This window comes from Homo sapiens, chromosome 3 (assembly GCF_000001405.40).
Source record: "Homo sapiens chromosome 3, GRCh38.p14 Primary Assembly".
Classification (NCBI taxonomy): Eukaryota; Metazoa; Chordata; class Mammalia; order Primates; family Hominidae; genus Homo; species Homo sapiens.
The window spans coordinates 113,461,236-113,488,927 of record NC_000003.12 but is presented as its reverse complement, the minus strand read 5'-3'; the positions used below and the strand labels follow the sequence as shown (position 1 = coordinate 113,488,927).

At 37.8% G+C, this 27,692-nt stretch overlaps 1 protein-coding gene and 1 long non-coding RNA gene across 17 annotated transcripts in view; both read left to right on the top strand.

Moving 5' to 3' along the window:
* SPICE1-CFAP44 (SPICE1-CFAP44 readthrough (NMD candidate)) overlaps window positions 1–27,692 on the top strand; it is a 228,227-nt gene that overhangs the window by 26,229 nt on the left and 174,306 nt on the right. For all 12 annotated transcript variants that reach the window (NR_183046.1, NR_183045.1, NR_183050.1 and 9 more), the window contains 4 exons: window positions 19,690–19,829; window positions 20,029–20,166; window positions 20,524–20,789; window positions 23,144–23,275. This is a non-coding gene — a long non-coding RNA (SPICE1-CFAP44 readthrough (NMD candidate)). The remainder of the gene's footprint in view (window positions 1–19,689; window positions 19,830–20,028; window positions 20,167–20,523; window positions 20,790–23,143; window positions 23,276–27,692) is intronic.
* SPICE1 (spindle and centriole associated protein 1) overlaps window positions 1–27,692 on the top strand; it is a 72,439-nt gene that overhangs the window by 26,229 nt on the left and 18,518 nt on the right. For 4 of the 5 annotated variants that reach the window (NM_001331078.2, NM_144718.4, NM_001331079.2 and 1 more), the window contains exons 8-11: window positions 19,690–19,829; window positions 20,029–20,166; window positions 20,524–20,789; window positions 23,144–23,275. In NM_001331078.2, the coding sequence (NP_001318007.1) occupies window positions 19,690–19,829; window positions 20,029–20,166; window positions 20,524–20,789; window positions 23,144–23,275 (676 nt within the window). The remainder of the gene's footprint in view (window positions 1–19,689; window positions 19,830–20,028; window positions 20,167–20,523; window positions 20,790–23,143; window positions 23,276–27,692) is intronic. The other variant, NR_170870.1, reaches the window with a different exon arrangement.

Sequence of the window (27,692 nt, the reverse complement as noted above, 5' to 3'; positions counted from 1 at the left end):
AAATATTTACAACTCTCAGGTTTTTTCCATGGCCATTTCAATGTTTGCCTATTGCATCATTTTTTATTAAATGGGAGTTTATTTTTATTTAAAAATTTGTTTATTTTGGTATTTCCAAATAATTTGCAGGGATAATATAAAAAGCTCTTGTATACTCTTTACTCAGATTCATCAATTATTAATGTTTTCCACATTTCTTTTATCATTTTATCTCCTTTCTGAGTATGCACACACATGCATGCATGCACATGAGCACCAGTCGCCTGAGTAATATACATTGTACCCAATATGCAGTTTTTTATTCCGCACCTACCTCCCGCCCTCCCCCTTCTGAGTCTCCAAAGTTTGTTATATCACTCTGTATGCCTTTGCATATCCATAGCTTAGCTCCTTAGCAAGTAAGAACATGTGGTATTTGGTTTTCCATTCCTCAGTTACTTCACTTAGAATAATGGTCTCCAGCTCCATCCAAGTTGTTGCAAAATACATTATTATTTTTTTTGTGTGTGAGTGGCTGAGTAGTATTCCATGGTGTGTCTATACCACATTTTCTTTATCCACTCATTGGTCGTTGGGCACTTAGTTTGGTTCCATATTTTTGCAGTTGACTAACATACATTTTTAAAGAACTATTAGGAAGTAAGTTGCATGCTTCATGTTCCTTTATCCCTAAATAATTCAGTGTGTGGTTCCCAAGAAAAAGAGCATTCATTCAGATAAAATCACAGTACAATGATCACAATCAGGAAATTACATTGATTTAACACTATTATCTAATCCATAGACCTTATTTAGATTTCTCCAGTTGTCACAGTAATGTTTATTTTGTTTTTTGGATGATTGAAGAACTAATCGTAATCACTTATTATATTTAGTTTTCATGTCTTTTCATTTTTAAAAAAAACCTGGAATCTTCTAAAATCTAATCTTAGTGTTTCTTTGCCTTTTATGACATTTTTATAGTTTTGAAGAAGTACAGGGCAGTTATTTTACAGAATTCCCTCTAGTTTGACTTTGTCTTATAAGTTCTTCATTATTAGACTCAGCTTACTTATGCATTTTGGGCAGGAATATCCCTAAAGTGATGTTAAGTCCTCAATGTGTCATATCAAGAGGCAGTGACACCTTGGTTTAATTATTGGTGCTGTTAACTTTCATCATTTGGTTACAGTGATGTCTGCCACGTTCCTTCAATGGATTATACTGTTTTATCTTTTATTTATTTTGATGTTTATTTGTCACATATTTGGGAGCTTCTTCAAGTAATTCCTGTGTCCTTTTAACGTATCTTCTTTAATGTTTAATTTCTGGCACAACATAGCTCTTATTATACTTTCTCTTCCCTGGAATCAACCATTTCTTCAAGAATCCTTAGCTCATTTTATTAAAGAAGGGTATTTAAAAACCAAGCTCTAAGTATTAGATGCGTTTATTGCACTTGGCAGTCATTGTTTTTAGACCAACAGATACATATATATGCACACATACATATATATACCTATAGTCATATGTATATGAACATATCTATATTAGTATCTAGTTTTCTGTCTATTTAGCTATAAATCATGAATTTACAGTGATACCTCTAAGTCCAATTTAACACTATTGGTTTTATCTTGGTCTTCTTATTCCACATTTGTATCACTCTTCTTTAACACTGAGCAGCATGTCTCCAAACATTACACAAGTATATTTATTCATATTCAATCCTGCAATACATAGAAAATAGTTTTGGAATTGCTGCGCCCATACTACTGCAAAAATAAACCTGCTAAGTAGAGTTCAAGATTGTTTGCAGATTTCTAAAAGGTTATTGTATTCATTTGAAATATAATTAGGTTCATTTGCTTCTATTTGTATTCAATTTTAGGTTTTTACCTCTCTTTTTGACAAAATTATACAAAAAGCTGTTTTCAGGGTAGTGTCAGTCACCATCCCCTATCCCTTCTAACTAGTTCCCGTCTACACTTACCCTTGTAGGTGATCAGTTTCCTTAGTTTTTAAATTTATTCTTTCTGTGTTTCTTTTTATAAATGTAAGCAGATATATATATATATATATATATCTCCTTATTTTCTCTTATATAAAAGATAACATACTCCTTATTTTCTCTTCTTATATAAAAGGTAACGTACTATATTTGCTTTTCTTTTACTTTAATTGACAATAAATGTGCATGTTCATGAGGTACATAGATGTTTTGATACATATAATGTATAGTAATCAGATTGGGGTAATTAACATATCCATTTATATTTGCTTTTACCACTTAATGATATATCCTGGAAATCTCCCCATAGCTGTTCATAAGTTTACACAGGTATTTTTTTCTTCATTTTTATAATAAAATGAAACAGTTGGATAGTACTAAATTGTGTGAATGTACTGTAGTTTATTTGACCATTCTCATATATATATATTATCATTTTTTATTGTGTCTATTTGATTCTTCTCTCTTTTTTTCTTTATTAGTCTGGCTACCAGTCTATTTTGTTGATCTTTTCAAAAAACCAGCTCCTGGATTCATTGATTTTTTGAAGGGTTTTTCATGTCTCTATCCCCTTCAGTTCTGCTTTGATCTTAGTTATTTCTTGTCTTCTGCTAACTTTTGAATTTGTTTGCTCTTGCTTCTCTAGTTCTTTTAATTGTGATGTTAGGTGTCAATTTTAGATCTTTCCTGCTTTCTCTTGTGGGCATATATATATATATATATATATGAGAATGGTCAAATAAACTACAGTATATTTGATATACTATATATATATATATATGGTCATTTAGGTTATTTTCAGTATTTTATTTTATTTTTCATTTTTTGAGATGGAGTCTCATTCTGTTGCCCAGGCTGGAGTGCAGTGTCGCCATCTTGGCTCACTGCAACCTCCACATCCCAGGTTCAAGTGATTCTCCTGCTTCAGCCTCCCAGGAAACTGGATTACAGGCATGCGCCACCAGGCCTGGCTAATTTTGTATTTTTATTAGAGACTACATTGTTCAGTTCCCACTTAAAAGCGGGACATGTGGTGTTTTGTTTTCTGTGTTGGTTTGCTGAGGATAATGGCATCCAGCTCCATCCATGTCCCTGCAAAGGACATGATTTAATTCCTTTTTATGGCTGCATAGTATTCCATGTTTTATTATTAAATTAACTAGAGAGAACTGGCATCTTTATGACGTTGAATTTTGCTATTCAAGAACATAGTATATTTTTCCATTTGTTAAAAGGTCCGCTGCTTTCTTCAGAGCCGTCAGGCATAGATGTTTAAGTCTGATGAAGCTGTGCCCACAGCCGCCCCTTCTCCCAGGTGCTCTGTCCCAGGGAGATGGGGGTTTTATTTATAAGTCCCTGACTGGGGCTGCTGCTTTTTTTTCCAGACATGTTCTGCCCATTGAGGAGAAATCTGGCAGTCTGGCCGCAGCAGCTTTGCTGAGCTTCGGTAGGCTCCACCCAGTTTGAACTTCCTGGTGGCTTTGTTTACACTGTGAGTGTAAAACCACCTACTCAAGCCTCAGCAATGGCAGCTGCCCCTTCCCCCACCAAGCTCGAGCGTCCCAGGTTGATCTCAGATTGCTGCTGTGTTGGCAGCAAGAATTTCAAGTCAGTGGATCTTAGTTTGCTGGGCTCCGTGGTGTGGGACCCGCTGAGCCAGACCACTTGGCTGCCTAGCTTCAGCCCCCTTTCCAGGGGAGTGAACAGTTCTGTCTCTCTGGCGTTCTAGGCGCCACTGTGGTATGGAAAAAAAAAAAAAAACAAACAAAACTCCTGCAGCTAGTTTGGTGTCTGCCCAAACGGCCCCCTAGTTTTGTGCTTGAAACCCAGGACCCTGCTGGGGTAGGCACTGGAGGGAGTCTCTTGGCCTGCGGGTTGCGAAGACTGTGGGAAAAGCACAGTATCTGGGTCAGAGTGCAAGGTTCCTCAGGCTCAGTCCCTCCTGGATTCCCTTGGGTAGGGGAGACTTTAACACTTTATGGTCAGTATTAGACAGATCGATGAGACAGAAAATTAAAAAGGATATTCAGGACTTGAACTCAGCTCTGGACCAAGCAGACTTAATAGACATCTACAGAACTCTCCACCCCAAATCAACAGAATATACATTCTTCTCAGTACCTCATCGTACTTTTTCTGAAATTGAGTAAAACACTCCTCAGCAAATGCAAAAGAATGGAAATCATAACAAACAGTCTCTCCGACCACAGTGCAATCAAATTAGAAATCAGGATTAAGAAACTCACTCAAAACCGCACAACTACGTGGAAACTGAACAACCTGCTCCTGAATGACTACTGGGTACATAACTAAATGAAGGCAGAAATAAAGATGTTCCTTGAAACCAGAGAGAACAAAGACACAACATACCAGAATCTCTGGGACACATTTAAAGCAGTGTGTAGAGGGAAATTTATAGCACTAAATGCCCACAAGAGAAAGCAGGAAAGATCTAAAATTGACACCTAACATCACAATTAAAAGAACTAGAGAAGCAAGAGCAAACAAATTCAAAAGTTAGCAGAAGACAAGAAATAACTAAGATCAAAGCAGAACTGAAGGGGATAGAGACATGAAAAACCCTTCAAAAAATCAATGAATCCAGGAGCTGGTTTTTTGAAAAGATCAACAAAATAGACTGGTAGCCAGACTAATAAAGAAAAAAAGAGAGAAGAATCAAATAGACACAATAAAAAATGATAAAGGGGATATCACCACTGATCCCACAGAAATACAAACTACCATCAGAATACTATAAACACCTCTATGCAAATAAACTAGAAATGGATAAAATCTAGAAGAAATGGATAAATTCCTGGACACATACACCCTCCCAAGTCTAAACCAGAAGAAGTCGAATCCCTGAATAGACCAATAACAAGTTCTGAAATTGAGGCAGTAATTAATAGCCTACCAACCAAAAAAAGTCCAGGACCAGGCAGATTCACAGCCGAGTTCTACCAGAGGTACAAAGAGAAGCTGGTACCACTCCTTCTGAAACTATTCCAAACAATAGAAAAAGAGGGAATCCTCCCTAAATCATTTTATGAGGCCAGCATCATCCTGATACCAAATCCTGGCAGAGACACAACAAAAAAAGAAAATTTCAGGCCAATATCCCTGATGAACATCGATGCAAAAATCCTCAATAAAATACTGGCAAATGGAATCCAGCAGCACATCAAAAAGCTTATCCACCACAATCAAGTTGGCTTCATCCCTGGGATGCAAGGCTGGTTCAGCATATGCAAAAAAATAAATGTAATCCATCACATAAACAGAACCAAAGACAAAAATCACATGATTAACCTAATAGATGCAGAAAAGGCCTTTGACAAAATTCAACACCCCTTCATGCTAAAAATTCAATAAACTAGGTATCGGTGGAACATATCTCAAAATAATAAGAGCTATTTGTGACCAACCCACAGCCAATAGAATACTGGATGGGCAAGGCAAAAGGCAAGGATGCCCTCTCTCACAACTCCTATTCAACATAGTATTGGAAGTTCTGGCCATGACAATCAGGCAAGAGACAGAAATAAAGGGCATTCAAGTAGGAAAAGAGGAAGTCAAACTGTCTCTGTTTGCAGATGACATGATTGTATATTTAGAAAACACCATCGTCTCAGCCCAAAATCTCCTTAAGCTGATAAGCAACTTCAGCAAAGTCTCAGGATACAAAATCAGTGTGCAAAAATCACAAGCATTCTTATACACCAATAACAGACAAACAGAGAGCCAAATCATGAGTGAACTCCCATTCACAATTGCTACTAAGAGAATAAAATACCTAGGAATCCAACTTACAAGGGATGTGAAGGACCTCTTCAAGGAGAACTACAAGCCACTGCTCAAGGAAATAAGAGACGACACAAACAAATGGAAAAACATTCCATGCTCATGGATAGGAAGACTCAATATCATGAAAATGGCCATACTGCCCAAAGTAATTTATAGATTCAATGCTATCCCCATCAAGCTACCATTGGCTTTCTTCACAGAATTAGAAAAAACTACTTTAAACTTCTTATGGAGCCAAAAAAGAGCCTGCATAGCCAAGACAATCCTAAGCAAAAAGAACAAAGCTGGAGTCATCACACTACCTGAATTCAAACTATACTACAAGGCTGCAGTAACCAAAACAGCATGGTACTGGTACCAAAACAGATATGTAGACCAATGGAACAGAACAGAGCCCTCAGAAATACACCACACATCTACAACCATCTGACCTTTGACAAACCCAAGACAAACAATAGGGAAAGGATTCCTTATTTAATAAATGATGTTGGGAAAACTGGCTAGCCATATGCAGAAAACTGAAACTAGGCTTCTTCCTTACACCTTATACAAAAATTAACTCAAGATGGATTAAAGAGTTAAACGTAAGACCTGAAACCATAAAAAATCCTAGAAGAAAACCTAGGCAGTACCATTCAGGACATAGGCATACACAAAGGCTTCAGGTCTAAAACTCCAAAAGCAACGGCAACAAAAGCCAAAATTGACAAAGAGGATCTAATTAAACTAAAGAGCTCCTGCACAGCAAAAGAAACTGTGATCATGGTGAACAGGTAATCTACAGAATGGGAGAAAATTTTTGCAATCTATCTATTTGACAAAGGGCTAGTATCCAGAATCTACAAAGAACTTAAACAAATTTACAAGAAAAAAACAACCCCATCAAAAAGTAGGTGGAGGATATGAACAGACACTTCTCAAATAAGACATTTATGCAGCCAAAAAACATACGAAAAAAAGCTCATCATCACTGGTCATCAGAGAATGCAAATCAAAACCACAATGAGATACCATCTCACGCCAGTTAGAATGGCGATCATTAAAAAGTCAGGAAATAACAGATGCTAGAAAGGATGTGGAGCAATAAGAATGCTTTTACACTGTTGGTGGGAGTGTAAATTAGTTCAACCATTGTGGAAGACAGTGTGGCGATTCCTCAAGGATCTAGAACTAGAAATACCATTTGACCCAGCAATCCCATTACTGGGTATATACCCAAAGGATTATAAATCATTCTATACAGACACATGGACACATATGTTTATTGCATCACTATTCACAATAACAGAGACTTGGAACCAACCCATGTGCCCATCAATGATAGACTGGATAAAGAAAATGTGGCACATATATAGCATGGAATACTATGCAGCCATAAAAAAGATGAGTTCATGTCCTTTGCAGGGACATGGATGAAGCTGGAAACCATAATTCTCAGCAAACTAACATAAGAACAGAAAACCAAACACTGTGTGTTCTTACTCATAAGTGGGAGTTGAACAATGAGAACACACGGACACAGGGAGGGGAACATCACACACCGGGGCCTGTTGGAGGGTTGGGGGGGCTAGGGGAGGGATAGCGTTAGGAGAAATACCTAATGTAGGTGACAGGTTGATGGGTGCAGCAAACCACTATGGGACGTGTATACCTATGTAACAAAACTGCACGTTCTGCACATATACCCCAGAACTTAAAGTATAATAATAAAAAAAAAACTAGAAAAAAAAAAGTCTACTTTTCTGTTTTTCAACAGCGTCTTAACATTTCTCTCATATAGAGTTTGCTTATTTCTTACTGAGTTTATTCCTAAGTGTTTTGGGGCTTTTGTTATTCTTTTAAATGGAATTTTGTCTTCCATTATACCTCCTAACTAGTTATTCTTTGTTTTTATGAAAGTTACTGATTTCCATGTGTTGCCTTGATATTCTGCTACTTTATTGAATCTTGGTTGAATTAGTTTTAGCACTGATTTTCTAGGGGTTCCTAGGTTGACTGTCATCTCATCTGCAAATAGACATTGTTTTCCTTGTTATCTAAGTCTTTCACCTCTAATTGGTTTCTTTTGTATATTTTATTAGTTATAGGACAGTGTTCAATAATAATGGAGATAGTGGGGATCCTTGCCTTGTTTCTGATTGTATGAAAATGCTTCTATTGTTTCCTCTTAAGTAAGGTATTGGCTTTAGTACTGAGGTCTTTTTTCTTTCTTTCTTTCTTTAAATTTTTAAAATCATTGTTATTTTTAGTCTTTTTTGAGACAGGATCTCACTCTGTCACCCTGGCCAGAGTGCAGTGGTGTGATCACAGCTCAGGTAATCCTCTCACCTCAGCCTCTCACCTCAGCCTCCCTCAGCCTCTAGTAGCCGGGACTACAGGCATGCAAACACCATACCCAGATACATTTTTTTTTAAACAATGCTAAGGAAATGCCAATCAATTCTTGTTTTCTTGATTGTTTTATTTTAATCAGTAATAAGTGTTAATTTTATCAGACTTTTTCAATATCTATAGAGATAATCATATGAGTTTTCTGCTTATGTCTCTTAATATGGTACATTATGTTATGAGTTTCCTAATATTGCGCTATCCTTGCATTTCTGCAGTAAATTCTATTTGGCCATGATGTGTTATTTTCATTAATGGAGTATTGGAGGTTGTTTGTTAATATTTTATTTAGTATTCTTGTGTTAAAATTCATAAATGATATTCTCTGTAGTTTTTTTGTGTCTGCAGCCTTTATCAGATTGAAGTAACAATGCGGTACTTGATTTCATAAGAACCATCTGGAAGATTTTTCTAATTTTTTAAGTCCTGGAACAATTTATATAGCACTGAGACTATCTGTTTTTTGAGGCTGATAGCTTTCCTCCTTTGAAACTATTTGCGCATGGTGCTTTTTTTTTTTCTGTGGGGAAGTGCCATAGTAACTTTGCTTGTTTATTTAAGCTTCTATTTCTTCTCAAGCCAATTTTTATAAGTTATATTTTCTTAGGAAATTTTCCATTTCATCTAGGTTAATCAATGTATTTCTATAGAGATGTGCCAATAATCTCTATACTTCTTAAAAAATTTTGTTTCAGTGCTTACTTGTTCTCCTCAATCATTTATTTTGGTTCTCTTTCTTTAAAATTAGGTTATTTAGTGGTTTGCCTATTTTATGAATTTTTGAAGAACTAACATTTTTAATTTATTAGTTAGAGGTCTAGTTTTCTGATTTCTTCCTCATCAATTTTTGCTTTTGTCTTTATTTCCTTCGTTGTGCATTTTTTTGTTTACTTTTTCTAGTAACCCTAGTTGAGAATTTAATACATTCATTTTCATTCTTTTATTTTTAATTGATAAACATGTTTAGGGCTCTGAATTCTACTCTGATCACTACTATAAATGTGTACCATACATTCTGGTATGTAGTGTTTTGTTACTTTAGGAATGAGGTAATTTCAGTTTATATTTTCATGTTTACTTAAGAATTGTCTAAAAAGTCAGGAAACAACAGGTGCTGGAGAGGATGTGGAGAAATAGGAACATTTTTACACTGTTGGTGGGACTGTAAACTAGTTCAACCATTGTGGAAGTCAGTGTGGCGATTCCTCAGGGATCTAGAACTAGAAATACCATTTGACCCAGCCATCCCATTACTGGGTATATACCCAGAGGACTATAAATCATGCTGCTATAAAGACACATGCACACGTATGTTTATTGCGGCACTATTCACAATAGCAAAGACTTGGAACCAACCCAAATGTCCAACAATGATAGCCTGGATTAAGAAAATGTGGCACATATACACCATGGAATACTATGCAGCCATAAAAAATGATGAGTTCATGTCCTTTGTAGGGACATGGATGAAATTGGAAATCATCATTCTCAGTAAACTATCGCAAGGACAAAAAACCAAACACCACATGTTCTCACTCATAGATGGGAATTGAACAATGAGAACACATGGCCACAGGAAGGGGAACATCACACACTGGCGACTGTTGTGGGGTGGGGGGTGGGGGGAGGGATAGCATTAGGAGATACACCTAATGCTAAATGACGAGTTAATGGGTGCAGCACACCAGCATGGCACATGTATACATATGTAACTAACTTGCACATTGTGCACATGTACGCTAAAACTTAAAGTATAATAATAATTTTTTAAAAAATTGTCTAATAGAAGATTTAAAAAAAAATTTCCAGAGCCTCTTTGTTTTTCTAGTTTTATTACGTTACATTCAGAGTGTGATTTGTAATATTTCTACCTGTGGAACTTGATGTTTTCTTTGTGACCTAATATATGATCAAATTTTTACAAATGTTCCATGTGTGTGCCTGAGAAGAAGGTATATACTCTAACAAGGTATAAAGTTCTAAAGATATATCCATAGATCTACCTCACTGATTATATTGTTGAATACTTTTGTATCCTTACTTATTTTTGCCACTCTTTTCTTCTGAGAATGGTGTATTAAAGTCTCCTACTACTAGTATGTTTCTATTTCTCTTTGCATTTTGTTTAAGTATATTTAATTGTTCAGAGTTAAATACTTCCTTTCTTATAAAAGTGATTCTTGTGTTTTTTGGTCCATGTTTTTTGGAACATAAGTGTTATATCTTCATTGTGATTTATAACTTTTAGCATTATAAAGTATGCTTTGTCACATTTAATACCTTTTGACTTCATTTCTACTTCATCTAATATCAGGAATGAAACCTCTACTTTTTTCTTGTTTCCAATTTCCTGGCTTATCTTGGCTTTTTACATTTAGCTTTCTGTATTTTAGATGTTTAATATATTTAGCCTTCTGGAATTATTTTGTATTAAGTATGTCTCTTGTATACAATGCAGAGTTCAGTCTTGCCTTGTTAGACAATTTGGAAATATTCTTCTTTTAATTGAAGTAAGCTTATAACACTTACTGATATGTTTGATGTTAACTTCATCACATTATTTTATAGTACTGTTTATTGTACTATAATTTCATTTTCTATGTGATGTTTCTTCTCTGTTCTTTTAAAAAATTTCTTTTGGTATTTAGGAAGTTTGTAATTTTGTTCTGGTGGTTACCTTTGCATATATACCTTTTATAGAGCCCTTAATCTTGTTTTCTTTTTTTTACATGTCATTGTCAGGTATGTCAGTTAAATTTTTTTTTAATGCTTTTTTTTCGGCAGATTCTTTTTATTTTATTTTATTATTATTATACTTTAAGTTTTAGGGTACATGTGCACAATGTGCAGGTTAGTTACATATGTATACATGTGCCATGCTGGTGTGCTGCACCCATTAACTTGTCATTTAGCATTAGGTATATCTCCTAATGCCATCCCTCCCCCCTCCCCCCATCCCACAACAGTTCCCAGAGTGTGATGTTCCCCTTCCTGTGTCCATGTGTTCTCATTGTTCAGTTCCCACCTATGAGTGAGAACATGCGGTGTTTGGTTTTTTGTCCTTGCAATAGTTTACTGAGAATGATGATTTCCAGTTTCATCCATGTCCCTACAAAGGACATGAACTTATCATTTTTTAAGGCTGCATAGTATTCCATGGTGTATATGTGCCACATTTTCTTAATCCAGTCTATCGTTGTTGGACATTTGGGTTGGTTCCAAGTCTTTGCTATTGTGAATAGTGCCACAATAAACATATGTGTGCATGTGTCTTTATAGCAGCATGATTTATAGTCCTCTGGGTATATACCCAGCAATGGGATGGCTGGGTCAAATGGTATTTCTAGTTCTAGATCCCTGAGGAATCGCCACACTGACTTCCACAATGGTTGAACTAGTTTACAGTCCCACCAACAGTGTAAAAGTGTTCCTACTTCTCCACATCCTCTCCAGCACCTGTTGTTTCCTGACTTTTTAATGATTGCCATTCTAACTGGTGTGAGATGATATCTCATTGTGGTTTTGATTTGCATTTCTCTGATGGCCAGTGATGGTGAGCATTTTTTCATGTGTTTTTTTGGCTGCATAAATGTCTTCTTTTGAGAAGTGTCTGTTCATGTCCTTTGCCCACTTTTTGATGGGGTTGTTTGTTTTTTTCTTGTAAATTTGTTTGAGTTCTTTGTAGATTCTGGATATTAGCCCTTTGTCAGATGAGTAGGTTGCGAAAATTTTCTCCCATTTTGTAGGTTGCCTGTTCACTCTGATGGTAGTTCCTTTTGCTGTGCAGAAGCTCTTTAGTTTAGTTAGATCCCATTTGTCAATTTTGGCTTTGTTGCCATTGCTTTTGGTGTTTTAGACATGAAGTCCTTGCCCATGCCTATGTCCTGAATGGTAATGCCTAGGTTTTCTTCTAGGGTTTTTATGGTTTTAGGTCTAACGTTTAAGTCTTTAATCCATCTTGAATTGATTTTTGTATAAGGTGTAAGGAAGGGATCCAGTTTCAGCTTTCTCCATATGGCTAGCCAGTTTTCCCAGCACCATTTATTAAATAGGGAATCCTTTCCCCATTGCTTGTTTTTCTCAAGTTTGTCAAAGATCAGATAGTTGTAGATATGCGGCGTTATTTCTGAGGGCTCTGTTCTGTTCCATTGATCTATATCTCTGTTTTGGTACCAGTAACATGCTGTTTTGGTTACTGTAGCCTTGTAGTATAGTTTGAAGTCAGGTAGCATGATGCCTCCAGCTTTGTTCTTTTGGCTTAGGATTGACTTGGTGATGCAGGCTCTTTTTCGGTTCCATATGAACTTTAAAGTAGTTTTTTCCAATTCTGTGAAGAAAGTCATTGGTAGCTTGATGGGGATGGCATTGAATCTCTAAATTACCTTGGGCAGTATGGCCATTTTCACGATAGTGATTCTTCCTACCCATGAGCATGGAATGTTCTTCCATTTGTTTGTATCCTCTTTTATTTCATTCAGCAGTGGTTTGTAGTTCTCCTTGAAGAGGTCCTTCACATCCCTTGTAAGTTGGATTCCTAGGTATTTTATTCTCTTTGAAGCAATTGTGAATGGGAGTTCACTCATGATTTGGCTCTCTTTTGTCTGTTATTGGTGTATAAGAATGCTTGTGATTTTTGTACATTGATTTTGTATCCTGAGACTTTGCTGAAGTTGCTTATCAGCTTAAGGAGATTTTGAGCTGAGACAACGGGGTTTTCTAGATGTACAATCATGTCATCTGCAAACAGGGACAATTTGACTTCCTCTTTTCCTAATTGAATACCCTTTATTTCCTTCTCCTGCCTAATTGCCCTGGCCAGAACTTCCAACACTATGTTGAATAGGAGTAGTGAGAGAGGGCATCCCTGTCTTGTGCCAGTTTTCAAAGGGAATGCTTCCAGTTTTTGCCCATTCAATATGATATTGGCTGTGGGTTTGTCATAGACAGCTCTTATTATTTTGAGATACATCCCATCGATACCTAATTTATCGAGAGTTTTTAGCATGAAGCATTGTTGAATTTTGTCAAAGGCCTTTTCTGCATCTATTGAGATAATTATGTGGTTTTTGTCTTTGGTTCTGTTTATATGCTGGATTACATTTATTGATTTGCGTATATTGAACCAGCCTTGCATCCCAGGGATGAAGCCCACTTGATCATGGTGGATAAACTTTTTGATGTGCTGCTGGATTCGGTTTGCCAGTATTTTATTGAGGATTTTTGCATCAATGTTCATCAAGGATATTGGTCTAAAATTCTCTTTTTTGGTTGTGTCTCTGCCCGGCTTTGGTATCAGGATGATGCTGGCCTCATAAAATGAGTTAGGGAGGATTCCCTCTTTTTCTATTGATTGGAATAGTTTCAGAAGGAATGGTACCAGTTCCTCCTTGTACCTCTGGTAGAATTTGGCTGTGAATCCATCTGGTCCTTGACTCTTTTTGATTGGTAAGCTATTGATTATTGCCACTATTTCAGAGCCTGTTATTGGTCTATTCAGAGATTCAACTTCTTCCTGGTTTAGTCTTGGGAGGATGTATGTGTCGAGGAATTTATCCATTTCTTCTAGATTTTCTAGTTTATTTGCGTAGAGGTGTTTGTAGTATTCTCTGAGGGTAGTTTGTATTTCTGTGGGATCAGTGGTGATATCCCCTTTATCATTTTTTATTGCATCTATTTGATTCTTCTTTCTTTTCTTTTTTATTAATCTTGCTAGCAGTCTATCAATTTTGTTGATCCTTTCAAAAAGCCAGCTCCTGGATTCATTACTTTTTTGAAGGGTTTTTTTGTGTCTCTGTTTCCTTCGGTTCTGCTCTGATTTTAGTTATTTCTTGCCTTCTGCTAGCTTTTGAATGTGTTTGCTTTTCTAGTTCTTTTAATTGTGATGTTAGGGTGTCAATTTTGGATCTTTCCTGCTTTCTCTTGTGGGCATTTAGTGCTATAAATTTCCCTCTACACACTGCTTTGAGTGTGTCCCAGAGATTCTGGTATGTTGTGTCTTTGTTCTCGTTGGTTTCAAAGAACATCTTTATTTCTGCCTTCATTTATTTATGTACCCAGTAGTCATTCAGGAGCAGGTTGTTCAGTTTCCACGTAGTTGAGCGGTTTTGAGTGAGTTTCTTAATCCTGAGTTCTAGTTTGATTGCACTGTGGTCTGAGAGACAGTTTGTTATAATTTCTGTTCTTTTACATTTGCTGAGAAGAGCTTTACTTCCAAGTTTGTGGTCAATTTTGGAATAGGTGTCATGTGGTGCTGAAAAAAATGTATATTCTGTTGATTTGGGGTGGAGAGTTCTGTAGATGTCTATTAAGTCTGCTTGGTGCAGAGCTGAGTTCAATTCCTGGGTATCCTTGTTGACTTTCTATCTCATTGATCTGTCTAATGTTGACAGTGGGGTTGTTAAAGTCTCCCATTATTAAGGTGTGGGAGTCTAAGTCTCTTTGTAGGTCACTCAGAACTTGCTTTATGAATCTGGGTGCTCCTGTATTGGGTGCATATATATTTAGGATAGTTAGCTCTTCTTGTTGAATTGATCCCTTTACCATTATGTAATGGCCTTCTTTGTCTCTTTTGATCTTTGTTGGTTTAAAGTCTGTTTTATCAGAGACTAGGATTGCAACCCCTGCCTTTTTTTGTTTTCCATTTGCTTGGTAGATCTTCCTCCATCCTTTTATTTTGAGCCTATGTGTGTCTCTGCACGTGAGATGGGTTTCCTGATTACAGCACACTGATGGGTCTTGACTCTTTATCCAATTTTCCAGTCTGTGCCTTTTAATTGGAGCATTTAGTCCGTTTACATTTAAAGTTAATATTGTTAAGTGTGAATTTGATCCTGTCATTATGATGTTAGCTGATTATTTTGCTCGTTAGTTGATGCAGTTTCTTCCTAGTCTCGATGGTCTTTACAATTTGGCATGATTTTGCAGCGGCTGGTACCGGTTGTTCCTTTCCATGTTTAGTGCTTCCTTCAGGAGCTCTTTTAGGGCAGGCCTGGTGGTGACAAAATCTCTCAGCATTTGCTTGTCTGTAAAGTATTTTATTTCTCCTTCACTTATGAAGCTTAGTTTGGCTGGATATGAAATTCTGGGTTGAAAATTCTTTTCTTTAAGAATGTTGAATATTGGCCCCCACTCTCTTCTGGCTTGTAGAGTTTCTGCCGAGAGATCCGCTGTTAGTCTGATGGTCTTCCCTTTGTCAGTAACCCGACCTTTCTCTCTGGCTGCCCTTAACATTTTTTCTTTCATTTCCACTTTGGTGAATCTGACAATTATGCGTCTTGGTGTTGCTCTTCTCGAGGAGTATCTTTGTGGTGTTCTCTGTATTTCCTGAATCTGAATGTTGGCCTGCCTTGCTAGATTGGGGAAGTTCTCCTGGATAATATCCTGCAGAGTGTTTTCCAACTTGGTTCCATTCTCCCTGTCACTTTCAGGTACACCAATCAGACGTAGATTTGGTCTTTTCACATAGTCCCATATTTCTTGGAGGCTTTGTTCGTTTCTTTTTATTCTTTTTTCTGTAAACTTCCCTTCTCGCTTCATTTCATTCATTTCATCTTCCATCGCTGATACCCTTTCTTCCAGTTGATCGCATTAGCTCCTGAGGCTTCTGCGTTCTTCATGTAGTTCTCGAGCCTTGGTTTTCAGCTCCATCAGCTCCTTTAAGCACTTCTCTGTATTGGTTATCCTAGTTATACATTCATCTAAATTTTTTTCAAAGTTTTTAACTTCTTTGCCTTTGGTTTGAATTTCCTCCTGTAGCTCGGAGTAGTTTGATCGTCTGAAGCCTTCTTCTCTCAACTCGTCAAAGTCATTTTCTTTCCAGCTTTGTTCCGTTGGTAGTGAGGAACTGCGTTCCTTTGGAGGAGGAGAGGTGCTCTGCTTTTTAGAGTTTCCAGTTTTTCTGCTCTGTTTCTTCCCCATCTTTGTGGTTTTAGCTACTTTTGGTCTTTGCTTTTGGTGATGTAGAGATGGGTTTTTGATGTGGATGTCCTTTCTGTTTGCTAGTTTTCCTTCTAACAGACAGGACCCTCAGCTGTAGGTCTGTTGGAGTTTGCTAGAGGTCCACTCCAGACCCTGTTTGCCTGGGTATCAGCAGCGGTGGCTGCAGAACAGTGGATTTTCGTGAACCGCGAATGCTGCTGTCTGATCGTTCCTCTGGAATTTTTGTCTCAGAGGAATACCCGGCCGTGTGAGGTGTCAGTCTGCCCCTACTGGGGGTTGCCTCCTAGTTAGGCTGCTCGGGGGTCAGGGGTCAGGGACCCACTTGAGGAGGCAATCTGCCCGTTCTCAGATCTCCAGCTGCGTGCTGGGAGAACCACTGCTCTCTTCAAAGCTGTCAGACAGGGACATTTAAGTCTGTAGAGGTTACTGCTGTCTTTTTGTTTGTCTGTGCCCTGCCCCCAGAGGTGGAGCCTACAGAGGCAGGCAGGCCTCCTTGAGCTGTGGTGGGCTCCACCCAGTTGGAACTTCCCGGCTGCTTTGTTTACCTAAGCAAGCCTGGGCAATGGCGGGTGCCCCTCCCCCAGCCTCACTGCCGCCTTGCAGTTTGATCTCAGACTGCTGTGCTAGCAATCAGTGAGACTCTGTGGGCGTAAGACCCTCCGAGCCAGGTGCCGGATATAATCTCCTGGTTTTTTAAGCCCGTCGGAAAAGTGCAGTATTAGGGTGGGCATGACCCAATTTTCCAGGTGCCGTCTGTCACCCCTTTCTTTGACTAGGAAAGGGAACTCCCTGACCCCTCGCGCTTCCCAAGTGAGGCAATGCCTTGCCCTGCTTCGGCTCGCGCACGGTGCACTGCACCCACTGTCCTGCGCTCACCGTCTGGCACTCCCTAGTGAGATGAACCCAGTACCTCAGATGGAAATGCAGAAATCACCCATCTTCTGTGTCACTCACGCTGGGAGCTGTAGACCGGAGCTGTTCCTATTCGGCCACCTTGGCTGCCCTTCCCGAAAAAACAAAATTTTTTTTTTGTTTTAATAAGTGAGCTTTTCTATGTTCCTATTCTTTCCATTATTTTCTCTCCATCCTTCCCATTTTTAGTTATATATTTTGCTTTGACAGAACATGAAGTATTTACATACTATGCTTCCATGCGTATCCCGTTTTTGTTTTTGTCTTATAGCTACAATTAAGTATATTAAATATCCCACAAGTTTGGTGGCTTAAAACAACAGAACTTGATTTCTTCCCAGTTCTGGGGTCCAGAAATCCAAAATCAGTTTCACTAGGCCAACGTCAAGGTATCAGTAGGGCCACACTCCCTCCAGAGGAGAAGCTGCTCTGGAAGAGAATTTGCTCCTTGCTTCTTCTAGCTTCTGAAATTGTGGCTGCAGCACACCAATCTCTGCCTCTTGTCTTCACATCATCTCCTCTGTGTGGGTGTCAAAGATCTTCCTCTGTCTGTTTCTTATAAGAATGTACATGAAATATGAAAAATTTTTTTTAAAAAATATGTGATTGCATTTAGGGCCTACCCAAGATAATCTCCCCATCTCAAGATTCTAAATTGTATCTGAAGAGGCTTCCCCTACCCCTTTTTTGCCATATAAGGTAATAGTGACAGGCTCCAGGGTTTAGGACATGGAATATCTTCAGGCATTATTATTTAGCCTACCATGGTCCTTCCAGTGGGCCCCAAAGATCCATCCCAATATCCTTCAATTTTCAGCTTCATTTCAAGTTCAAAATCTCATCTAAATCTCATTAGCTCAAAAGTCCCAAATCTCATCATCTAAATCAGTTATGGGAGGACTGGATAGAATCCATCCTGGTGCAAAATTCTCCATTTGTGGTCCTATGAAACTAGAAGACAAGTTGTCTGCTTTCAAAATACCATGATGGGACAGACATAGGATGAAAGTTATAGACATTTCCATTTTACGAGGGAAAATCAAAGAAGAAAGGGATCAGCAGTTCCAAGCAACTTTGAAATTCATTAGAGCAAATACTATTAGGACTTAATGCTCTGTGACTTGAGTCTTTACCCTTCTGGATCCATGGCTCTTCCCTCTGTGCCTGTGGCTCTGGCTTTGGCCTCTGTGCCTATGGATCTGCAGCTCTGGCCACATGTTCTCACTTACTTCTGGGAGCTAAAAATTAAAACAGTTGAACTTAGGAAGATAGAGAGTAGAATGATGGTTACCAGAGGCTGAGAAAGGTAGTCTGTAGAATTTTTTGAGTCTAGCACCCTTCCTTCATTTCATCCTGTCTTTGTGTCTTTCAATTTAAGCTAGCAGTATTTCTGTTGGTATAACATTCTCAAAAGATCTTGTGTCTTGCATATGTCATGGTCATCTACTCCATAGACAGGTCTTTCCTGGAAAATCCCATCTTTATTGTTAGCTTCTTCTGACATCATTTGGAGGATCCATGAATCACATGCTTTATCTCTTCAGAACTAGCAAAAGGTTATTCAGCCACACTCTTGCCCTTCTCTCCAGAATATGCTTTCCTAACAGCGACTTTACTAATCTTTTGCAATTTGGACAGGCTGAAAACTTCTCAAAACATCAAGTCCTGGTTCCTTTTGCTTAAAGTTTTTCCCACCATTTATCTCTTTGTTCTTGCTTTTATACTAAGCCTCCAGAAGAAGGTAGGCTGTAACTTTAGCACTTTGAGAAATAGACAAATGAGACAGTTGAAAATTAAAATATCAACCTTATCAGTGATAAAAGTGTTTATAGCATAACGCTTAGCTCTGTAACCAATGTGCTTGTAATTACTAACCCCTAAACTGCAGCATCTCTTCTCACTCTATCTAGCCCCTCCCTGACACACAGGGACAGAGTATGCTGTGGTCAATTTACTTCATTGATGAGCAGAGACTGGCTGCTCTGTGGACAGGCTCCTTTGTAGGACAGAGAAACCAAAAGGGGCTGAGCCATATATGCTTAATTACTTTACTCTAGAGAAAGAGAGAGGAGGATGGAGCCATACCACAAAACTGCAGAAAGGGCAAACATACCTATGTTAGGGACCAAGGTAGGTAGGAAACTGGGAGGCAGATGGAATGATTCTTTCTAACACTAAGGTGATAGGCATTTTTGCTATCTACCTGTCTTATCAGTTATAGTGAATAGTGTTTTTTCTTTGACTATGAATTACTAAAAGCTCCTTCAAATCAAACATGTAACTATTTGAACAGTTTAAATGATAGCACCTATTTTTTATATAAATTAATATAATATACATATAAATTAGATATAAATATAATTTAATTTATATAATTAAATTATAAATTAAATTACATGTAATATAGAATATATTTTATAATTATGTGTAATTATTATATAATTATATATAATTAATTATATAATTTAATTATAAATTATAATTAAATTTATATGCATATTTATATATAAAATTAAATTTATAATTATATAAATATAAATTATAATAATATAGATAATGTAAATATAAATTAAATGCCTGCTATCATTTAATTTATATTTATATTATATTAATTTATATTATAATTCTCATGTAGCTTATTGTCCTGTAATTTATAGGTTTCTCCAACAACTAACAGAAGAGAATTTTGAGTTAATTAGTAAGTTGTGGACTGACATTCAGCAGAAAATAGCAACCCAGTCACAAATAACTCCTCCAGGAACGCCATCATCTGCTCTTTCATCAGGGGAGCAAAGAGGTTTGTTTCCCTTTTGCATTATTTCTAGGTGCCTGCTTTATTAGGTTCATTCTTGAATGCAGTAATTTTTGAAGGAATGTTATTTGAGTTTTGACTGCCTTTGCCTAATTGACTAAAATACTGATGGATCTGTCAATTGAAATACTTTCTTAAGAAGTTTGTTCACTTGAGATACTTTTGGAAATGTTCTTCCTTTTAGCTGCTCTGAATGCTACCAATGCTGTCAAGAGACTCCAAACCAGGCTTCAGCCTGAAGAATCTACTGAGACTCTAGACTCAAGCTACGTTGTGGGACACGTGCTGAACTCAAGGAAGCAAAAACAGCTGTTAAATAAAGGTTCAGTCCCTTAATTTACAAAGATGAATATTAAACATGTAACTTGATACAGCTGTCTTAATCTCTTAGTCAATGTTTTTCTCCCTTAATCTCATCCACATGGTTCCAACTGAAAGTTTATTGAATGGTAGCTAAGAAATGTCTCCTACCACATGTAACTCTGGAACAGTGGTTCTAGTGCATTCATTATAGCTAGTGTAAATCTGGTTTAAACTGTTTAATTTTTATGAGAGAAATGGTGATATCGTCTATACAAGCCTTTTATAAATTGTGAACAATAGTCAAAAGATTTTTCTAGTAGTTTTCTAGTCATAATTTTTCCTGGTCTTAAAATAGAATGACTTCTCTCATTATCAGTGAAAAGGAAACCGAATTTGCATGCTCTTTCCAAGCCGAAGAAAAACATATCATCAGGTAGCACAACCTCTGCAGACTTACCAAATAGGACTAATTCCAACCTGGATGTCCTCAAACACATGATACATGAAGTGGAACATGAAATGGAAGAATATGAGCGGTGGACAGGTCGCGAGGTCAAGGGTCTGCAGAGCAGTCAGGGTCTTACAGGCTTCACTTTGTCGCTGGTGAGCTCCCTCTGTCGCCTGGTTCGGTACCTTAAAGAGGTAAGGACATTAGGTTAGTAGAGTCTTCTTTTCAGGCAGAAATGCATGAGTTTTTTTTCCTTTCCATTTATTGCAACCTCCAAATAAAGTACAGTCAAATTTGAATAGCTTCGTTTAAAATACCTCAGTTTTAGATTATCTGCAGTAAAGGCTTATCCTTTAAGTCTTTTCTGCCGTTAGTTGATACATGCTCAGATAAGTGATTTTAATTTTAATAAGAGCTTTAGCAAATTATAATTAGTAGGGTAAATCTGCCATTAATATAATTATATCTTGTGCTAATATTAAATATTACTGTTTGACAGTTGTAGATTAAATAGAACTGTTAACTGTGTCTGCATTCTATTGCTATTCTCTGCTTCCTACTCCCACATTCAGTTTGGAGAGTGGCATTGCCTATAATCGGTAGACTTGATATGTGGGAGAATTCTTCATGTTCCCTGTATGTCTGGTAACTCACATATGGCTTCAATGTCTAAGTGGGAGATGTTTTATTGTTGTAAAAATAATTTATAAAATAAGCAAGAATTCTTTGTTTGGCTGGGTGTGGTGGCTCACGCCTATAACCTATAATCCCAGCCCTTTGGAAGGCCGAGGCGGGCAGATTGCCTGAGGTCAGGAGTTTAAGACCAGCCTGGCCTCAACGTGGTAAAACCTTGTCTCTACTAAAAATACAAAAATTAGTCGGGCATGGTGGCGGGCGCCTGTAATCCCAGCTTCTGGGGAGGCTGAGGCAGGAGAATTACTTTCACCAGGGAGTTGGAGGTTGCAGTGAGCCGAGATCGCGCCACTGCACTCCAGCCTGGGCGGCAGAGCAAGACACTGTCTCAAAAAATAAAAATAAAAAAAGAATTGTTTGTTTAATTTGATTTCAAATAATCATCCACAGAATGCCACAGAATTAGAGTTAGCTATGTGTTTCATCTTTGAAAATCTATTTAAACTGTTATGTACTTAAGCCTGTTATACAAATATGACAAAAATGTTTAAGGAAACTTTATTATTTAATAAGATAGATTTACCACCTTAATACAGATGTTTTAGTTTCTCTAGAGCCGTCTTCCTAAAATTGAATTGCTTTTTTTTTGAGACAGGGTCTCATTCTGTTGCCCAGGCTAGGGTGCAGTAGTGGCATGATCTCGGCTCACTGCAACCTCCACCTCCCGGGTTTAAGTGGTTTTCCAGCCTCAGCCTCCCAAGTAGCTGGGACCACAGGTGCATGCCACCACACCCAGCTAATTTTTGTATTTTTTTTGTAGAGACAGAGTCTCACTATGTTGCCCAGGCTGGTCTCGAAATCCTGAGTTCAAAGCGATCTGCCCACCTTGGCTTCCCAAGGTGTTGGTATTATAGGCGTGAGCCTCTGCACCTGACCCTAAAATTAACTTTTTAATGACAGATTCATTGTATTGTCAGACCTATTAAAACCTTAACATTCTTTCACCCTTAACTCAGGAATCTTCAGGAGTATACTTTTGGCTCTTGGAGAGTATTGCAGGCTTAGAAGCATGTACTTTTTTTTTTTTTTTTGAGACAGAGTCTCGCTCTGTTGCTAGGCTGGAGTGCAGTGGCATGATCTTGGCTCACTGCAACCTCTGCCTCCTGGGTTCAAGAGATTCTTCTGCCTCAGCCTCTTGAGTATCTGGGACTACAGGCGTGCACCACCACGCCCAGTTAATTTTCGTATTTTTAGTAGAGACGGGGTTTCATTCACCATGTTGGCCAGGATGGTCTCGATCTCTTGACCTTGTAATCTGCCTGCCTTGGCCTCCCAATGTGCTGGGATTACAGGTGTGAGCCACCACGCCCGACCAGAAGCGTGTACTTTTAAGCTAATCACTTGTTTTACAAAGTTAAACCATTTAAAGTTGTAGTCATTTACTTTAAATTATATTTTAACAAGCTTAATTTTTGAATTGGCAATATAGTCACATATTATGAAATTCAAAGATAACAGCAGATTGTACTAACTCTCATGACTAACTTCCAGCTAGCCTGTTTGCTTATTTATAGCCAACTATCATTCCAGATACCAGTGTATCTTTCTAGAGATGGTCAGTGTATATTCAAATAATATGTATATGTATATCCCTCTACTTTCTTTTTACAAAAAATGTAGTTACTTAATTTTATATAGCATTTAGTTCATTTTATTCTATTTAAAGAAGGGAAGAGGATAAAGAAGCACATTTTCTTTAATTAAATATAATAAACCTTTTAATAAAACTCTTCATCATTACTGTCACATAATATATGCTTCTTTGTAAATATCTTCTTTGCCAGCTTTGAGTGCAAACTTTTAGTTTTCAACATGTGATGCTATTGGTGGAAGTTTATTTGATATTTTTTTGTAGAGTGAGATCCAGCTACGTAAAGAAGTAGAGACAAGGCAACAACTGGAACAAGTATTAGGTGATCATCGAGAGCTCATTGATGCTCTGACAGCTGAAATTCTTCGTCTTAGAGAAGAAAACGCTGCTACACAGGTACTCAGATGAGATCCCAATTTTTATGTGTTCAGTGGTATAAAACATCTTTAAACATGTACTGGATTCTCTTAGAGTTGCTTTTGGTTTAACTGTATCGATGTGATTACTTATCAGTCATTTTTATCATCAGTGGCAGGTATTATTGAACATTTATTACATGGAAGTACTATAGTAGAAGCTTGGAAGTAGTATATGGACTGTCTTCCTGTCTTCAAGAGACTTACTATTTAGTGGGAAGACAGAGTCTACATTTAAATTATAACTACAAGTGTTACAGTAGTTAATCCAAAATGTGAAATGAGTGTTATGACAGCCACTTTTAATTTCAAAACAGCAGAAGGTAGCCTTTGAGGAGTCCTTTTGCAATTATATCAGAGCCATTTACAGTTGTTCACAGTATCTTCATATTTGTTACATAAAGTCCTCTTTGCTGCTTGACTAATTGCTCCTTTTCTTTTTTAAAAGACTTACACCATTCTCTTCTGGAAAACCTATTGCTTCCATGCTGCATTGAGCATTCTTCCTTTGTGAACTTTTTTTTTTTTTTTTGAGATGGTGTCTCACTCTGTCACCCAGGATGGAGTGCAGTGGCATGAGTTCATTGCAGCCTGGACCTCCTGGGCTCAAGTGATCCTCCCACCTTAGCCTCCCAAGTCGCTGGGACTACAGGTGCACACCACCATACCCAGCTAACTTTTTATGTTTTGTAGAGATGGGGTTTCACCATGTTGCCCAGGCTGGTCTCGAACTCCAGGGCTCAAGCTATTCGCCCGCCTTGGCCCTCGAAAGTGCTGGGATTACAGGCATGAGCCACTGCACCTTGCTTCTTTGTGCACTTCTGATACTGTCTGGATATTGGTATTATTGCATTTATCAAATTGTTTTATACTTATATGTGTACTTGTTACTGAGACTGTATGCTTCTTGAGTGTACACAGTCTATTTTATTCATCTTTTTTGTTCTCATATGATGGTTATTATTACTTTTATTTATCAGCCAGAAGAGACTAGACAAGTAATAGTTAGAAGATAAATTATGTTTGTGTTAATGGACATTAGATGTAGATGTATAATTTTTTAAAATTGATAATATAGGGCGAGGCGCAGTGGCTCACACCTTTAATCCCCACATTTTGGGTGCCAAGGTGGGAAGATCACTTGAGGCCAGGAGTTTGAGATCAGCCTGGGTAACAGAGTGAGACCTGTCTCTACAAAAAATAAAAATATTAGCTGGGCATGGTAGCATATGCCTGTAGTCCTAGCTGCTTGGGAGGCTGAGGCAGGAGGATCACTTGAGCCTAGGAGTTTGAGGCTGCAGTGAGCTATGATTTTGCCATTACACTCCACCCTAGGTGACAGAGTGAGACCCTGTCTCTAAAAAAAAAAAAAAAAACAACAAAAAACTGAAACCACACACAAATTTGATAATATAGTTCACATACCATTAAGTCCTCCACCCTTTTAAAATGTACAAATCAGTGTTTTTAGTATGTTTGAAGTTGTATGCCAGCACTGTTATCTAAATCCAGAACATTTTCCTCACTCCAGAGAGAAATCCTGTACCCTTTTTCTTTTTTTTTTTGAGACGGAGTCCCACTCTGTCCCCCAGGCTGGAGTGCAGTGGCATGATCTCAGCTCACTGCAAGCTCTGCCTCTCGTGTTCACGCCATTCTCCTGTCCTAGCCTCCTGAGTAGCTGGGACTACAGGCGCCTGCCACTACGCCTGGCTAATTGTTTGTATTTTTAGCAGAGATGAGGTTTCACCGTGTTAGCCAGGATGGTCTCGATCTCCTGACCTCGTGATCTGCCTGACTTGGCCTCCCAAAGTGTTGGGATTACAGGCATGAGCCACCGCGCCAGGCCATCCTGTACCCTTTAGAAGTCACTCTTCATTCTCTCTTCTTGCCAGCTCCTGGCAGTCACTAATCTACTTTTTGTGTTTGTGTATTTGCCTAATATAGATATTACATAGAAATGGAATAATGTAATATGTGCTTTTCTTTCACTTAGTATAATGTTTAAGGTTAATTTATGTTTAGCATGTATCAGTACTTCATTCCTTTGTATTGCCCAATAATATTCCATTGTATGGATATACCATATTTTATTTATCCTTTCATTAGTTAATGAACATTTGGGTTATTTTTACATTTTGTCTGTTATGAATAATGCTGCTATGAACATTCATATACATATTTTTGCAGAACATATGTTTAATTCTCCTGGGAAGATGTGCAGTTTTAAAATGTACTAATTTACTTAACAAATCTTTGTTGAACACCTGCTGTGGGCCTGGTACTGTTCTAGGTACAGGAAATAGAATAGTGAACAAAATATAGAAAACTTTGCCCTCATGGAGCTTACATTCTAAATAAATCCTAAAAACAAAAAGTTGAAGTATAGTAAGTTAGATGGTGATATGTACTTTGAAGAAAAATAAAGCACATAAAGGCACAGGAAATGCATAGGATGGGGTAGGATGCAGTTACAAATGAGATGGGCCATGCCTGTCTGAGGAAGTGACATTTGAGCCAAGACCTGGAAGAGGCGAGGAGTGAGCATGTGGGTAGCTGAGAGAAGAGCAGTCTGGGCAGAGGAAAAGCAAGTGCGAAGGTCTTGCGGTGGGAGTGTGACTGGTGAGCTTAGAGTCATCAAGGAGATCAGTGTGGCAAGAGTAGAGTATGAGGAAGAGGAAGAGAGAGAGGCAGGAGACAAGATCAGGTAAGCCCAATTACATAGCGCCTTGCATGATGGTTAAAGATATGGGCTTTTATGCTGAGTGAGATGGGAAACCACTAAAGAGAAGAGACGTGATTTGTCTTGGGTTTAAGAGGATCACTCTGGGCTGTGTTGAAACTAGATCAGAGATTGGTGCCCTTTCTTGGGTCGCGTGCCCTTAGTGTCTTATAACAAAACAGTTCTACTAGGCCAAAAACAGTTCTACTTACTAAGTTGTTGAGTCCAAACAACTATGTCCTAACAACTGAGGGGCTGTTTGAGAAAAAGTAATACTTTCTCTTAAATAACTACAATTATTTACTAATGGGTTATATGTACCTTTTGAGCACTGTACCACTTCTCAAAGCTTGGAATCATGTGGGACACAATCATTCTTATTTCCTGTTCCACACTGATTTTCCTCCAGAACTTGTTTTTTTAACCTAGCAACTGCTGAAAACCCAGCCATGAGAAGATTTGACATCCTCAAAAGGAATGTAATGGAATCTGACATTGAAATTGTGAACTGTCCTGAGCTAATAGTTCACCAGTGTCTGATAGATGGCAGGCATCACTATTTCCCTTGAAGATTTAAATTTTCCCCGGTGCCCCTGTAAGTTCACTTTAGTGCCCTGAGGTGCCTCAGCAAACAGTTTGGGAACAGTATGGGACTAGAGTAGGTGGCCAAAAAGCAGAATATTACATGAGGAGTTATTGGAATAGTTCAGGTGAGACATGGCAGCTTGGTCTAGGGTGGAAGTGGGAGAGGGTGTGAAAAGTGATCAAGTTATGAATATATTTTGAAGGCTGACCAATGCAGTCTGCTAATTTATTGGATGTGGAGTGAAGTAGAGGATATTGGAAAAGAGTCAAGGGTAATTCCAAAGTTTTGGACTGAATAATTAAAATGATGAAGTTGCCATTTATGAGGTAAACAAGGCTTGAGGAGGAATTTGGCTTTATGTATCTTAAGTTTGAGAAGTCTATTTCAGTTCTAGATGGAGGTGTTGAGTAGGCCACTGGATATATGAGTGTGAAATTTGGGAAAAAATTTGGGCTGGTGGTATAAAAATGTTTACTATACTTCATTCAGCAGTACTGTTAATAATATTTCTGAGTCTGGCTGCACCTGACTTTTATCAAATGTCTGTATCTCTCTAAGCATACATGAGAGATATATATATGCTTAGATAGAAGTTTGTTACTAGCTGCCATCTTTGGGTTTTCTTACTTTGTTATTATTACAGAGTGTCAGCAATTTACAGAACTCTCCTTTTGTTCCTTCTACCTGCAATCTTCTCTACTTCTAGGAACATTTGTGTAACACCAATACATAACTTAGATGAGCATTATGTGGTAGTGATCAAACCTGATGTTTTTAGATGACATACTTGTATCATCCTTGTAGAGAAGATTAAGAACAAAACAAATTCATCTAACCTTCTGGGCAATCTGTTTGACTTTTACATGTAAGAATGGAATTCTAAACACTGAACACATTCAGCTCTGTGCCAGAAAGTAAATCTATGGGTATGGTATTTTGTGGGTGATCTTTTAAATATAGAAAAAAAAAAACCTTATGTAATATTAAAAATATATATATATACACACACACATATAGACAAAGATGAGAATATCTATATACATATATAAAATATAGTGTTATCTCTCTCATGCACGTATGTAAAAATCAAGT